We start from the raw sequence: 15,516 nt of genomic DNA on the forward strand, positions 1-15,516 counted from the left end.
GAGTGTTTTAAAGATGATTACTTCAGAAGAATCAATATATGATTTAAGAGATTGAGTTACTGTTTTCCATATATTTTATCTTAATTAAAATAAATGATTATTCCTACAAATAAAAGGAAACTAAATCTATGTTTATTAAAAATACACAAACAGGAAGTTTTATTTTCACACAAAGAAAGTTTAAAACTCAACAATAAAACAAGGAAAACTAGAGATCTTTGTTTTTCATAAAAGAAACTATGCACTTCATTTATTAATCCTTTGAACAAAGACTTATTTTTTTCTGTACTGCATAGAAGCAGCTTAGACTTTAGTGGAGTATAGAACTTACCAAAGAAAAGCAGAGACAAAAGACACAATCACTGTACATTATGCCTGTAAAATGGGAGTTGATATATGAATACATTTAAAAGCTGAATAGTAAAAATATGAAAGAGGTGTACAGATGGAGAAGATATAACAATGACCAATAATTGTACAAAATCATGCCTACCCTCTCCAGTTTCCAGAAAAAGGCAGTGTAGAGCAAACAGATTTGAAGAAAAAAATTAAAAGGATTAATAATAACCCAAATATATTTAGGATGAGGAAAAAGAGATGCTTTCATACATATCATTGGTGGACATATAAAATGCAAAATTCAGAGAGCAATTTGGAAAAAAATAAAGTGGCCATAAAATAAGGAAATCTCAATTATTTCTGTTTCTTTTCAAAACTTTATATTTCACTCTAAGTAAAAGGCAACAGTTTTTAAATATTCTAAAAGCTCTAAGCTTCTTAAACCTTCTGACATTTTCTCCTCCTACTTGCCTGTTGCTCACTGCTTGGCCCATGTAGATCTCTTTGATATTCTTCCAATACATTATGTGTTGTTCCAGTTCAAGGATTTATTTTGTTTTCTTAGTTTAGAATGTTATTTCCCCATATATCTATCTGTTCAGCTAACTTCTTCACCTCCTTTGGCCTTTGCTTAAATCTTACTGTCTCAAAGAGACTCACCTTGACTACCTTACTCAACACTGTAATGTCAGTCTTTTGTGTTTATTGTTTTCAATGATTTATCTCAGGTGTCTAGAACTCACTTTAGCAAATACTTATAGAATTAATAGAAGTACTTGGAAGACAGTGTGGTGATTCCTCAAGGATCTAGAACCAGAAATACCATTTGACCCAGCAATCCCATTACTGGGTATATACCCAAAAGATTAGAAATCATTCTGCTATAAAGACACGTGCACACATATGTTTATTGCAGCACTGTTCACGGTAGCAAAGACTTAGAACTAACCCCAATGCCCATCAGTGATAAACTGAATAAAGAAAAGGTGGCATATATACACCATGGAATACTATGCAGCCATAAAAAAGAAAGACTTCGTGTCCTTTTCAGGGACATGGATGAAGCTGGAAACCATTATCCTCAGCAAACTAACACAGAAACAGAAAACTAAACGCCGCATGTTCTCACTCATCATGGGAGTTGAACAATGAGAATACATGGACACAGGGAGGGGAACATCACACATTGGGGCCTATCAGGGGGGCTGTGTAGGGGGCAAGGGGAGGGAGAGCATTAGGACAAATACCTAATGCATACGGGGCTTGAAACATAGATGACAGGGTGATAAGTGCAGCAAACCACCATGGTACATGTATACCTATGTAACAAACCTGCATGTTCAGCACATGTATCCCAAAATTAAAAAAAGAAGTACTATGTCCAAAAAGTTTTCTCTATTTCAACATTGCCTAGCAATAAAAAATATATGGATACATTTTAAATGTCTATCAGTACAAGCCATTGTTATATCAATTCTAGGAAATATTATGCAAGATTTAAATAAATGTGGAACATTTATACATTCTCACATGAAATAATACCAAAGACATGTGGGTAAGTGACTAAAGCAAGTTTTAGAATTAGTAAAATGTGATCTTTAAATTTTGTTCATAATTGACATATAATAATTATACATATATATGAGATACAGTGTGATGTTTTGATACATGTATACATTGTGTAATGATAAAATTATGGTACTCAGCATATCATTTACCTCAACAATTGGTTATTTCTTTGTGGTGAGAACATTTAGAATGATCTCTTCTAATTATTCTGAAATACGCACTATAATACGGTTGACTATAGTCACCTTACTACACTGTAGTACACGAGAACTTATCTGTCTATCTCACTGTAATTTTTTTACTCATTTTCTTAATTATATGAAGAGATGGGAGTATCTTCCTTTCAACTTTATGCTTTCTAAAAATGTGGTCCAAATTAATAATAGTTAATTACCTTTTGGGAAAGGAGGGAAAGTAAATGTGAAAGAGAATGTATACATTGTATGAGTTACTTTCAACAAGAATACAATGATGTATGATTTTTAAATGCTAAAATACATAATAAGATGAGTGATTTTGACAGGTTCAGAGGAGAGCCAAATTTCTTTGGGATGAGATAGCATTCGAGTGAAAATTTAAAATATGCATATACTTTTCTAAAAAAAAAAGCCTTTGAGGTGGGGAAAGAATGGGAAAATAAGGCATTTAAGATAGAAGGATATATTGGAATATAATATATGTTCAGAAGTAGAGATTACTTGGGATCGGTATATGTGTGGGTTCAACAGAAACAGAAACTTCTAGAACTGTGAAGAGCTTATATTTGGGAAGGACAGTAATAGACCTTGCACACAAGGCTTAGGATTTCATACTTTAGTTTGTGTTAAAGGAAAGCCATGGGGACAGTGGTCTTGGTATTTAAATAGGCCAGTGTCTTGCCAGATATGGTGCTTAAAGAAAACCAGATTGACTATTTGGGGAAGGACAAGACTAAATAATTTTACCTATTTCAACCAGATGTGGTTAGAATTTGCCAAAAAATCTTCTGACAAGGATGTGTCTCTGAAGTTATTGAGTCACCAGACAAACAAAAAGGGTTACTGTAAACTCATTAAACAAAGATTTATGCTTATTTGTTATTTTTCTCCTTTATAGCTTATCATACAATGTTAATTCAATTATCTTTACAATAGAATGTGAATGAGCATAATGTTGGGAGTTGCCACAATTACCTATATATAATCAAACTCCGATGCTTTCAAAAATTGTATCTTTCATTCCTCTCACATATAATTTTATTTCTCATTACTTCATAATAACATACTCATCCATTTTTTCTATTATATAGTTAACAAAAATTACTGTGCATCTGCTATGAACTCTTGACTCTGGTAGGGGATTGGAATAAAATGACAAAAAGAAAAAAAGGTATAACTTTGGAATTCAGTTGGGAAGATATGAAATGTGACAATGAAAAACAAATCAGGTTTGATAGGTTTTTTGAACAATCTGAATACAGAAAACTAAAAAATACAGTTTAGATTATAAGAATTTTTATAAACAACATTAACAGAATCTTAAGAAAAAAAAACATGAGATTGGGTAAGTTGTAGATGATCTCTTTGATGAGATAATTCCCATACTGTTATCTAAAATACATGAGAGAACTAGCTATGCATGGATGAAGAAAATCATTTCCAGATACATAAACAACAGTAAAGAACTTGAATAAAAGAAAAACCTGTTACCTTGGGTTTGGTAAAGATTAGCATGGCTAGAGTTACATAAACTAGGAGAAATATATGGATTAAATATGAAATTAGGCAAGGTCTAAATGATTAAGGTCTGTTAAGGTCAAGGAAAAGACTTTGGATTTTCTTTTCCATGGATTGTGATGCCATCATATACTATTAACAAACTAACAAAAGGAAACAAGTTAACAATTAACATTTCTGAAAGAAATTAACCAGGCTACTTGTGAAAAATTGATTGAAGGGAGTGTCATTATTGTAAGCAGAAAAGCCAGTTAGGAGGTTATGGCTTTATCCAAGGTGAATTAGAGTGTAAATAGGCAAGTTAAGAGATCTATGTATATGAGGGAGCTTTAAAAAGTTTGTAGAAAAATGGAATGACAAGATAAAAATAAGAAGTATAAACTTCATTTTTTAACATATGCTCCAAGAACTTCAAGACACTGAAACTTCCTTTGCAAAAATTATTACAGTGTAAAAAATCTGACACAGCAGACTCTATCTTGCCTCTAACCTCACAAGCTAACTACCTTTGCCCATTTTTAGGCCTAGGCCAAGATAACCATGGAAGAAATTTAGTTTGTAGTTTAATCTTAAAGCAAGGGCGATAATAGCTCCTTTCCAAAACTACCTCCCTCTTCATTTGGAAACCAAAACTGCCTTGGTAAAACTAACCAAAGATGACAAGATTAGAAATCTGAGAGGAGTCTGAATTCTGCTAATGCAGTTAAGCAATAACCAGCCATTGTTTCTTAGTTGTCTTACTGCTCCAGAGTCATGTAGCTGGATATCATAAGATTTGCAACTTCTCTGGTTTCTCCTACAGATAACATCACCATTATAAAGCCTAAGGTTGGTCTTGAGATATTTTTCAGACTTTTGCATTCTGATAAACTGAATGACGCCACTTGGATCCATGACTCACACTAAGGAACTGATTCAGCTGGTCCTGTGACCCCCACCCAGAAGCTGACTCAATGCACAAAGACCGTTCTGATGTTCCTATGATTTAATCTCCAACCAATCAGGAACACTCATTCCCTAGACCCCTTCCTGCCAAATTGTCCTTAAAAAATCCTAGCCTCCAAGGCTAGGGATGGAGGTGGATTTGAGAAATATCTCCTGTCATTCCACTTGGCTGTCTTGTGATAATTAAACTCTTTCTTTTCTGCAACACTGCTGTCTCAGTGTATTGGCTTAACTGTGCAGTAGGCAAGAAGAACCACTGGGCTGTAAAACTACTTTTGTAACTGATAAAACCAGAAATTCAGCCTACCCTCCAAAAATGAGGGTGCTGAAATTTTATCCATATTAATGCAGTATTTTTACATTATTAATTTAATGAAATACTTTGAGCATCCCAGAAAAGTGTTGCTAGGACCTTTGTTCCTAATTGATGCACTTTTGCTTTGACTTGAACACTTCAACCTTTTGGTAGCCATTGATATTATTGTGCTTTGTCTTCAGAATCATACTGGCAAAGCCATATTTTATCTCCTTTTATAGTTCTTCAAAAAAGGCTTCAGGATTTTGATCTCTCTTGTTTAAAATATTCATTGAAAGCTTGGCTCTTGTCTGCAATGATTTTGGCATCCATTGCATAAAAATTTGCTCAACTTTAAATTTTTAGTCAGAAGTGTGTAAGCTAGTGTTGGCTAGTGTTTCTGCTGTATAATTGTTGATTCTCTTCAATTAGGACACAAATAGAGAATTTTTTTCTTCTAGCAACTTGATGCAGTTTTCTGCAGCTGCCAGCTTCATCCTCAACATCATCTCATCCCTTCTTAAAACCAGTTATCCAGGCCAGGCTCACACTTGTAATCCTCTCACTTTGGAAGGCTGAGGCAGGTGAATTACTTGAGCTCAGGACTTTGAGACCAGCCTGGGCAACAACTGGAGACCCAGTCTCTACAAAAAAAATATAAAAATTAGCTGATTGTGGTGGTGCACACCTGTAGTCCCAGTTATTTTAGAGGCTGAGATGAGAGGATCGATTGAGCCTGGGAGGTCAGGCTGCAATGAGCAGTGATTGCCCCATTGCACTCTATCCTGGGTGGCAGAGAAAGACACTGTCTGAAAATAAATAAATGAAAACAAACCACAGAAACACACACACACACACACACACACACACACACACACACACACGAAACAATAACTCTCTCTATTCATTTGCAAACTACTGATTTCTTTGAAGCTTTGTCCCCGTAAGATTTCTATAAAGCATCAGTGATTTAACCTTTCTTCCACCCACGCTTCACCATAAATTTTATGTTTGTTCTTGCTTCAATTTTACTAGAATCCATGTTGCTTTGATAGGGGACCTTTTCAAACTGAGGTCAACAAATTTTTGGTGCAAAAACTTTTGAATTCCCTGCATAGTTTTTTTCATAATTCACATTTTTCATGAACTTTTTGAAGTTCCTTCATATTTGAAATACATTTTGGAATTAAAATTGACAGACATTACAGATGCATTGAATACTAAAGGTAGAAAAATGAATATATCAGATATGAGTATCTTGTTTGAGAACTAGGAAGGTTGTTTTACTGATGAGATAAACAAGGAAAGCACACAGAAGTTTTTGGGGGGACATGGTAAGCCTAAGATATAGATGGAAATGTGACGGTAGATGGATATATAGATATGGAGCTAAGAACAATAGCCTTGGCCATATATATATATACACACACACATATATACACAGACACACACACACACGCACACATCATAATATATTTAGGTGCTATATATATTTATACATATAATTTATATATATATATATCTCATATATAAATATATAATTTGGGAGTTAATAGAATAGAGATGATATTTCATAGGAGTGTATGATGCCACTAAGAGACAAAGCATAGTTGAAATGAAGAGTTTTGAACACAAAGGAATTATAATATACAGAGTCTGTATGGAGTAAGAGCCAACAACAACAGAAGAGGGTAGGACCTGTCAATGAGGGAGGATAGAGCCAGGAACAATTTTACTTTTCAAATTTGTACTTGTCACTCCCTCTCCCAAGAAAACTCTTTTTCAGATTACTCTATGCCTATTTTCCTCAACTTTTTTTTTTTTTTTTTTTTTTTGAGATGGACTTCCACTCTGTAGCCTAGGCTGGAGTGCAGTGGTGCAATCTCTGCTCACTGCAACCTCTGCCTCCCAGATTCAAGCAAGTCTCTTGCCTCAGCCTCCCCAGTAGCTGGGATTACAGGCACAAACCACCATTCCTGGCAGATTATTTTGTATTTTTAGTAGAGACAGGGTTTCACCATGTTGGCCAGTCTGGTCTCAAACACCTGACCTCAGGTGATCTACCTGCCTTAGCCTCCCAAAGTGCTGGGATTACAGGCATAAGCCACCACGCCCGGCTTATTTTCCTGAACTTTTTAGGTCATAGTTCAAGCATTAGCAGCTTAGTGATACTTTCCTAGACCACTTAATTTCAAATCAATCACACCCAATACTGACACTTCCTACGCCTTTCTCTTTCTAGCACTTAGCAAAATCTAACATATGTATTTTACGGAGTTATTTATAAAATGTTCTGCTGCCATAAGAATATATGACCCAGGAAAGCAGAAATTGTGTTTTTTTTTTAAATGCTATATCCCCCAAACTTAAAATTGGTGCTAAATATATTGATAATGTACCGTAATTTTGTTTTTTGTGAAGCTGAATGGAGCAATTTTATTGGACTATTGGATATTGATATAATATTAAAATGGTTTTATGAAAGAATGGGAGCTGGGGAAATGACTGTGCAATCATTTGGTTGGGGTTCATTCTGACATTATAATCAGTGGGGGCACTAACTTTGACAGGAGTAAGAAAATATGTTTATAATAAAAATTAAAAGATATATATATGATGAATGTAAGGATTGTAGATTTGACTTGAGGAAGATGAGGAATTTTCTTCATATCTTTAATTTCCTCAATGAGCTCTTCAACTTGGTGTGAGTAAAGCAAGAGTTAGGTTTGTGGGGAAAAAGAAGAAAAAACATCCGATTTACCAGTCAACCCAGTGAATAATACTTAAAAGGAAAATGTGGTAGTATGGCTGTATTCATCTGTTTTTGTGTTGCTATACAGAAATACCAAAGGCTGGGTAATTTATAAAGAACAGAGGTTAAATCCTGTTCCACCTGGTTATCACCCCTCCGTGGAACTCAGGAGCTTGGTTGGCAGAAGGAGCAGCAGAGACCAGGCAGTCCAGCTTTGCAAAGGCTCTTCGTGTGCTGTGACAGGCAGGCATCCGCCAATCACCATCCCTGCTGCCCAGATGCCCAAGAGGAAGGTCAGTTCAGCTGAAAGGGCAGTAAAGGAATAACTCAAGAGGAGATCTTCATGATTGTCAGCTTAATCTGCTCCTGCAAAAGTGGAAATGAAGCCAAAAAGGCAGCAGGAAAGGATAAATCTTCAGACAAACGAATGTAAAGGAGAAAAGGGGAAGAGCAAAGGGAAAATAGGCAAAAATGGCTAAGAAACTAAAAACGATTTACCTGCAGAAAACGAAGAGAGTAAAACCACGGAGAACCCAGCGTCTGATGAAGCCCGAGACAAAGAAACCAAATCTGATTAATATTATACATAGTGTCTCAACAGTGGTTCCTGTATTCCTTCTTGTACAGTCCAGAAGAAGATTTTTATCAACTATTTTATAAACGCAAGTTTGTTAGTAGCTCTCATTTTCAGGAAGGAGGGAATCCTACCTCATCCCATTCTTTAAGTGATTTTTTAAGAGGTGACATTATTTGTCAATTGTTTATTTTTTGGTACAACCAGAAAAAACTCCCATAATATTGAATTATGGGAGGCTTTGACCATCTTAGGTGTCACCTTAACATTCCATAGAAGGGATTCGTTTTTATAACCTGTAATACAAAGTATACTAAATGGCAACATGGAGTCACAGTTCTGCATTTAATGTCTTGAACATTTAAAATTATTTCTATTCCCATGTTGTTTTTCAGTTGCATTGTTTCCTAAAGAAAACCACTCCTTGACCATGGCTCTCCCAGTCAGACTCGTGCACACTCTGTAACATCTTTGGTGTTGGTAGTTGTGTTTTCCTAATAACATTGTTAACGTGCTGTGAAATACTGAAAATCTGAGTATGTAGTGTATACACTATTCAATTGTGAATTGTTGGTAGTTATGTAACAGCTTATCAACATGTGAAGATGCTGGAACTTGATAGTCTCTTAAGTAAAGTTTGACTCCAAATTTTAACCAGGAAAATCACTGGAATAACTTTAAAAAATAATTACAATACATGGCTTTTTAGACTTTTGCTATATGTGTTAAGAATTGTGTACAAAGTGAAATGTCTGTGGACTGATCCTCGACATAACCAATAAAATCTCAATTATGGAAGAAGAAATAAAAAGAAAGGAAAGGAAAAGAAAAGAAAAAAGAAAAGAGGTTTGATTAGCTCATGGTTCTTCAGGCTGCAGAGGAAACACGGCACTGGTATCTGCTCATCTTCTGCTGAGGCCTCAGTGAGCTTACAATCATGGCAGAAGGCAAAGCAGGAGCAGACATTGTCATATGGTGAGAGCAGGAACCAGAGACAGAAGGGGGAGGCCCCAGACTCTTTGAAACAACCAAATTTTGAAGGAACTAAATGAGTGAGGCCTCACTTATCACCAAGGGGATGGTGCTCCTACAAACTAATACCTCCCATCATGCCCCACCTCCAACATGGGGATTACATTTTAACAAGAGATTTGGAAGGGACAACCATTCAAATCATATCAGTGGCCAAGCAGTGTGGATCTTCTATGTGAGTGTTGTCATTTCAGATTTAAAATGTGAAGAACCAATCGGTTTATATCAGTATCACCAATTTTGCTATGTTGCTTGAGTGCAATCAAAGAGAAGGTAATGCCTGTTCAGCTAGATGGATTTTGCTAGTTAAATGGGGAAAACTTAAGAGGGATGTTAAAAGCATGCACATATATATCCTTTCTTCACAAGTAATTATAATGGTAAAACTAAAACATGGAATCTGTGTTGGGCAAGGAGGCAAGTTAAGACAGAGGAGACTGAAAGATGGAAAAAGTTATGAATGTGAAGAATGATACCTTGCTATAAAGTCAAAGAATTGTGGCAGTGAAAAGACAAAATACATTATTTTCATGTACTCAGTCCTTAAGCCATTATCTTACTGTTCATCATTTCTTTTTATCACATTCCTAGGAAGATTCCTCCTACTGACCTCTGTATCAGTTAATAAGCTTGTAGTGTATCCAATTAACCTGGGAGTATCCAAGCAAAACAACCAATGGTTGCAAAGTACATCTTAAAAGTCTGTGCATATATTATGGGTGGTCTGGGTAGACTCTTACTTCTGAAGGTTATTTCAGAGACGTAGCAGTTTAATACAGAATCAGAGAGAAAGTGATGTGGAGTTTGGAAGGGAAACGTCAAGCCTGAATAGCCTGATTTTAGATTTCATTCAGAACAATGATGAAAAATACTACTAAAATAGACACAGTCAGGGAGTTTTCAGGCTTCATTATGCTTGAGTAAAGAATGATTCACATGGCCAAGCACACTGGCTCATGCCTGTAATCCCAGTACTTTGGGAGGCCGAGGCAGGTGGATCACCTGAGGTCAGGAGTTCGAGACCAGCCTGGCCAACATGGTGACACTCTGTCTTTACTAAAAATACAAAAAAAAAAACTAGTTAAGTTTTGTAGTATGTGCCTGTAATCCCACCTACTTGGGAGGCTGAGGCAGGAGAATCGCTTGAACCTGGGAGATGGAGGTTGCAGTGAGCCGAGATCATGCCTTTGCACTCCAGCCTGGGCCAGAGTGAGACTCCATCTCAAAAAACAAAAAACAAACAAACAAACAAAAAAAACGAACAAAAAAAAACAGAATTATTCACAAACTATTTTAGTTTTTAATGTGTCTAACTATAAAGCTAAATCTCTTGGGAATAACCACATAGATGTAAGGTATGCTTATGTAATTTGAATTATAGAAAAAAGAATGATTTGATTTTCTAAACCAACTGACATATTAGAACCAAAATAAAACTTAATAAAATAAAAACAAGTCTTAATCTAGATAAGTGTTTGTCTAATCCACCAGCAACACACATATACACATTCATTCTCTCTCTCTCTCTCTCATACGTTAACACGGGAATATTAGATTATCAGGGATATTTCTTTGCTTTAGCGTCTTTGGAGGGGAAAGGGACAACACAGGAAGCAAACATGAAATGGTCATTTTTGGACAAGCACAGAGTTAAACTTATATTTATAACTATATTTTGCTAAAAATTAGCTTAATAATCAATGCAATATTGAACAATTTTCTCTTTTCTACAAATTAAAAATATTTCTTTCCTTAGCTACTTTTTCTCTTATGTGTTAAAGCATTATCCAAATTATAATTTCCATGTGTATCTGGACAAGGTTCTTAAATATACTAAATCAGAAAAAAAAAAAACAGGATTACGGAGGAGTAACATGCTTTGACATATTTTTGTGTGTATATGTGCCATGGCATTAATTAGTTTGCACTGACATTACCTTAGAGTCAAGAATATGTCAGTGAGTGGAATTTAAATTCTCTCATGTATATGCATATATATGCAAGAATATATATATATATATATGAGAGAACTTAAATAAGTGCTCCATGATATTACAACTGTTGTTACAGAACCATAAGTTCAAATTCATACATATACTAACATTTCAAAATGCTATATTTGCAAAATTGCTATCAAATTTTGTGTTGAATAGAGAGACATAAGGATCATCTAATTCTGTAAACTTTCTGAAAACAAAAAGTTAAAGCTGACTCTAAAGTAGCACTCATAGTACAGATATGACTTATCTATAGTCCCAGGCTCTCTTCAAATACATTAAACTTGAAATAAAACCTTCAGGCAGATTTATTGCTTACATTATTGGATTACCACAAATGCCTTGGGCTCATACATCTTTAGAATGAGCAGCCATGTCTGTCTACAAATATGAACACACACACATACACACATTTACTTGAACAATAAATCTTGAAAGTAAAAGCTCTCAGTATACATCCAAGACTCTTTTGGGGTATTTTTTTTTCATTCTTTTTTTTCTTGAAAAACAGTTGATTTAGTAAGAAAATCTTCACTTGAGCTCCAATACCAAAGATAGTAAAGTTTTTTAAAACCTGTCTTCCTACAACTACATTTGTTCTTTTTATATTTTTTATTTCTAAAAGGTTGTTCTTGCCTCTTTAAAAAGAAATCATGAAAGAGAAGTGAAAAGAGAAAAATAGAAGGAGAAAGTAAGAGGATGTGTAGGGAAACATTTCAAAATCACCTTTTATTTGACTTTAATTTTTTCTCTAACATTATTATTTGGTAGAAAACAAAATCAATCGAGGTTTTAAGATTAACAGTCAAGTAATAAGATTTATGAAATTCCGGAACAGTATATAGTGTTCTAAGATGTGAGAATGGGGGATTTGGTTTCAATGCTGCTGAAATTAGACTTTCCTCTGTACATTTATTGATGCACATTGATAATAAAGGAAGCAGCTGTGCCTGTTGAAAACCACCATTTGAAGTAGCAATTTGGTGGCAGAAGATGACATGTGAATTTCCCAGGCTTCAGAACAGAAAGTTGGGGACAGAAGCTGAACAACTGCAATTACCATATTGCAAATGACCTCTGCTAGTTGGAATGCTGCCCACAGCCACTACAACTCACCTTGATTAATAAACATTTCCTACAGTGCCTGGACTGCTAAAAAGTGACATTTTACATTTTCAAGATTGGCTATTAATTTAATCTATGTAAACATCACTCATAATCTGTGATGCACATTCCCATATTTCAAATAAAAATGACATGCAAATTGAAAATATGACAAACCGGCTACTCAAAATTCCAGCAATGGAAAATATGTGCTCATAGCGCTAAAAAAGAAAAAAAAAAAAAAGGTGTGTCTGAAGCTTCTCCCTGCCTATTTAGAAAGCATTGAGTGACAGCTTAAACTAGGGCTTGTAACGCCCAGGGTGAGACTACCTATGAGGGCAATGAAAAAATTTTCACTGTGAGCTGTGCAGTGACTTCTACTTGATACTTCTTTCCCATATCAAGGAAGGAATAGTCGTATTCTAAGGTGCATAAAATTACCTCGAAGCTGATGCCTCCATTTTATAATATGCTTTTAAGAAGAAGATAATAATGAAGATGATAATTTCCATTTTTTCTCATATATTGGCTAGGTGTGGGGTGGATAAAAATGATAAAACTGCATAACGTTTATTGAATGCCAGGAGCTCGTTACTTATGTTGTTATAACAGAAATGCTAGCTATGTGGGAGGTGACAAAACCTCTCATCTTGTCTTTCACTTGTATTTTTAAAAACTTTTTAGTCTCTATCTCACCCCCTGGGAAGAAGCAAATCCAGTGTCTATTTCCTGTTAGTAGCACCCACATTCCATCTCAGCTAATAATGTTAAAATTCCTTTTTCCAACCAAATTCTGCATTCTGCCCTTGTTTCCATTCTCTTCCTGTGCGGCCTTCTCTCAGTTGTCTAATATCTCCTGTGTAGAGAGCCCAGATTAAAGTGCAGCCTAAACTACCATAAAATGGCTGTCAGAATTGATGGATAATGATGAGGGTGGGACGCGAAGGTGCAAATTGAAATCTCGTTTAAAATGTAATACTTTAGGAGCCAGCCTTATTTTTGAACGTTTCAGTCTTAATCTACTGGTAGATATTTCCCATGTTCCAAGTTTCTTTTCATTAATATCTGGTTTTTCACCATTTGCTGAGTAATATATTTCCCTCCTCAGATCTCTTTATTTTTTATTCCCTTTTCTGTCATCTCCACCATAATAACTCCTTCAGGGAACCTCTCTCTTCTCCTTCTTGATTTCTGGAAATAAGTAAATCGATTAAAGCACCATTTGTTTCTATAGCACTGTGATCTGGGGTTCATCTTTACACATCCAAATAGTTAATCAAAGCATTTGCTAAAAATAAAAAAAAAAAAGAAAAGAAAGGAAAAAGAGAGATGAAGAAAAGAGAGAAGAAAAAAGTATATATAACTATTTACTCATTCTTCTTCCTTGTCCCATTTTACTAAAGTATGTACAACAGTCCTTTGATTTTTATATTTGAAATTTAGAAATATCTCTAAATTTCAAACATAAAAATGAGCCTCTAAGATGTTAATTATGCAGCCTAAGTCACAGAGCTACTAACATCCAAAGCTTATATTCAAATCTATTCTGTAAAGCCAGAGCTCACTCTTTCTATCTCTCTCTCTCTCTCTCATTCTGTGTGTGCGTGTGTGTGTGTGTGTGTGCATGTGTGTGTCTTTATAATATTTTAGGCCAAATGCACCATGAAGACTACCAGTCTTAAAAATATCATGTGAAAAACACAGAAAAGCTTAACAGTTGTCAAATGTTGTTAGATGGACAACTAAAAAAAAATTAGGGGGTATTAATGTACTCCAGAGATACTAGAACTCTTAGATATGATGAGAATTGGCTCACATGGTTCTGGCGTCTGAGAAGTCTCACAATCTGCCATGTACAAGCTGGAGAATCAAGAAATCCAGTGGTGTAATTTAGTCTGAGTCCAAAGGCAAGACAACCAGAAGTACCAGAGTCCAAGGGCAGGAGAAGGTGGGTCTCTCAGCTCAAAAAAAGAGAGTGAATTTGCCTTTCTGCCTTTTTGTTTTATTAGCCCTCTGAATTTGATGATACTCACCAACATTGGTAAGGGTTGTTATATATAAAGTTTCGGTACCGCAAAAGAAATAGCACTCGAATATAAAATTTTCTTTTTAATTCTCAGCAAGGCAAGGTACTTCTATGTAGAAGGGTGCACCCTTACAGATGGAATAATGATGAGTACAAACTTGGACAAGGAAGGGGAAGGGGTTCTTATCTCTGACGCACGTGGCCCCTGCTGCAGTGTCATTCCCCCATTGGCTAGGGTTAGACCACACAGGCTAAACTAATTCTGACTGGCTAATTTAAAGAGAATGACAGGGTGAGTGCTTTGGAGGGAGTCAGGGCAGAGCAGGTAGCAGGTAATTGGAATGAGGGTGGAGCAGGTGATTGGAATGTAGGGTGGAGCAGGTGATCGAAAAAGTTGCTTTAGGAGGAAGTTAAGTTTAAAAGTAGAAGGCAAAAAATTGAAAATACTGACATATTAATTCTTTGAAAAGAAATTTGGAACTCATATCCAACAGGGTGAATATTCTTCCCTCAGCCTACTGATTCAAATACTAATCTCTTCCACAAGAAAACCTCATAGTCACACTCAATGATAATGCTTTATCAGCTATCTGGGCATCTCTTAGCCCAGTCAAATCAACACACAAAATCAACCATTAGAAAGAGTCATCTGGATTGATTAAATAACCTCATTTATCAAAATTTTTATAGTCTTTTCTCCCCACATTTTTAACAAATGCCTCTTGTATATCATTATTGCCAATGTTGCCCCGAAAAGCAGATTCTTCAGTTTTGGTTCAATTCAACTTATGCTGGCAGACTCTGTGTGCTGGGGTTATACTAGGCACAGCGAGTATAGTGCAAAGGTAAAACACGCTCTCACAGACCCACTTCTTGTAGGCCTATAAGAATCACCTGAAATGCTTATGAAAACCTGGATTTCTTGGTTCTTCACCCCCACAAGAGATTCTTATTCAGAAGCCCAAAGTATGATTCAAGAATTCATATTTCTGCCAAGTTGCCAGACAATGATGATACTGCTGGAACTCAGAACGCATGATGAATAACAGTGCTCTAGAGGATGTTTTTGCAATAATTAGGATGAGTTCAGATGTAATTACCTAAAAGCCTGACAGAGAATTAAAATTAAAAACCCTGTATAAGATCACATAACAAAAAGTCTGCATGT

The 15,516-nt window shown here is 35.5% G+C and overlaps 1 protein-coding gene across 9 annotated transcripts in view, besides 1 other annotated feature; it reads left to right on the forward strand.

The window, feature by feature from the left end:
- The window catches only part of LUZP2 (leucine zipper protein 2), a 585,586-nt gene that overhangs the window by 196,329 nt on the left and 373,741 nt on the right, over positions 1-15,516 (forward strand). The window lies entirely within an intron of this gene.
- Positions 4,034-5,233: an enhancer, noted in NCBI's record as "P300/CBP strongly-dependent group 1 enhancer chr11:24718961-24720160 (GRCh37/hg19 assembly coordinates)". NCBI's record gives its function as "activates an origin of replication core promoter dependent on BRD2, BRD4, P300/CBP, MED14 and CDK7 cofactors, with strong dependence on P300/CBP, by STARR-seq in HCT116 cells {active_cell/tissue: HCT116}" and the evidence as "EXISTENCE:reporter gene assay evidence [ECO:0000049][PMID:35650434]".

This window comes from Homo sapiens, chromosome 11, assembly GCF_000001405.40.
Source record: "Homo sapiens chromosome 11, GRCh38.p14 Primary Assembly".
NCBI lineage: Eukaryota > Metazoa > Chordata > Mammalia > Primates > Hominidae > Homo > Homo sapiens.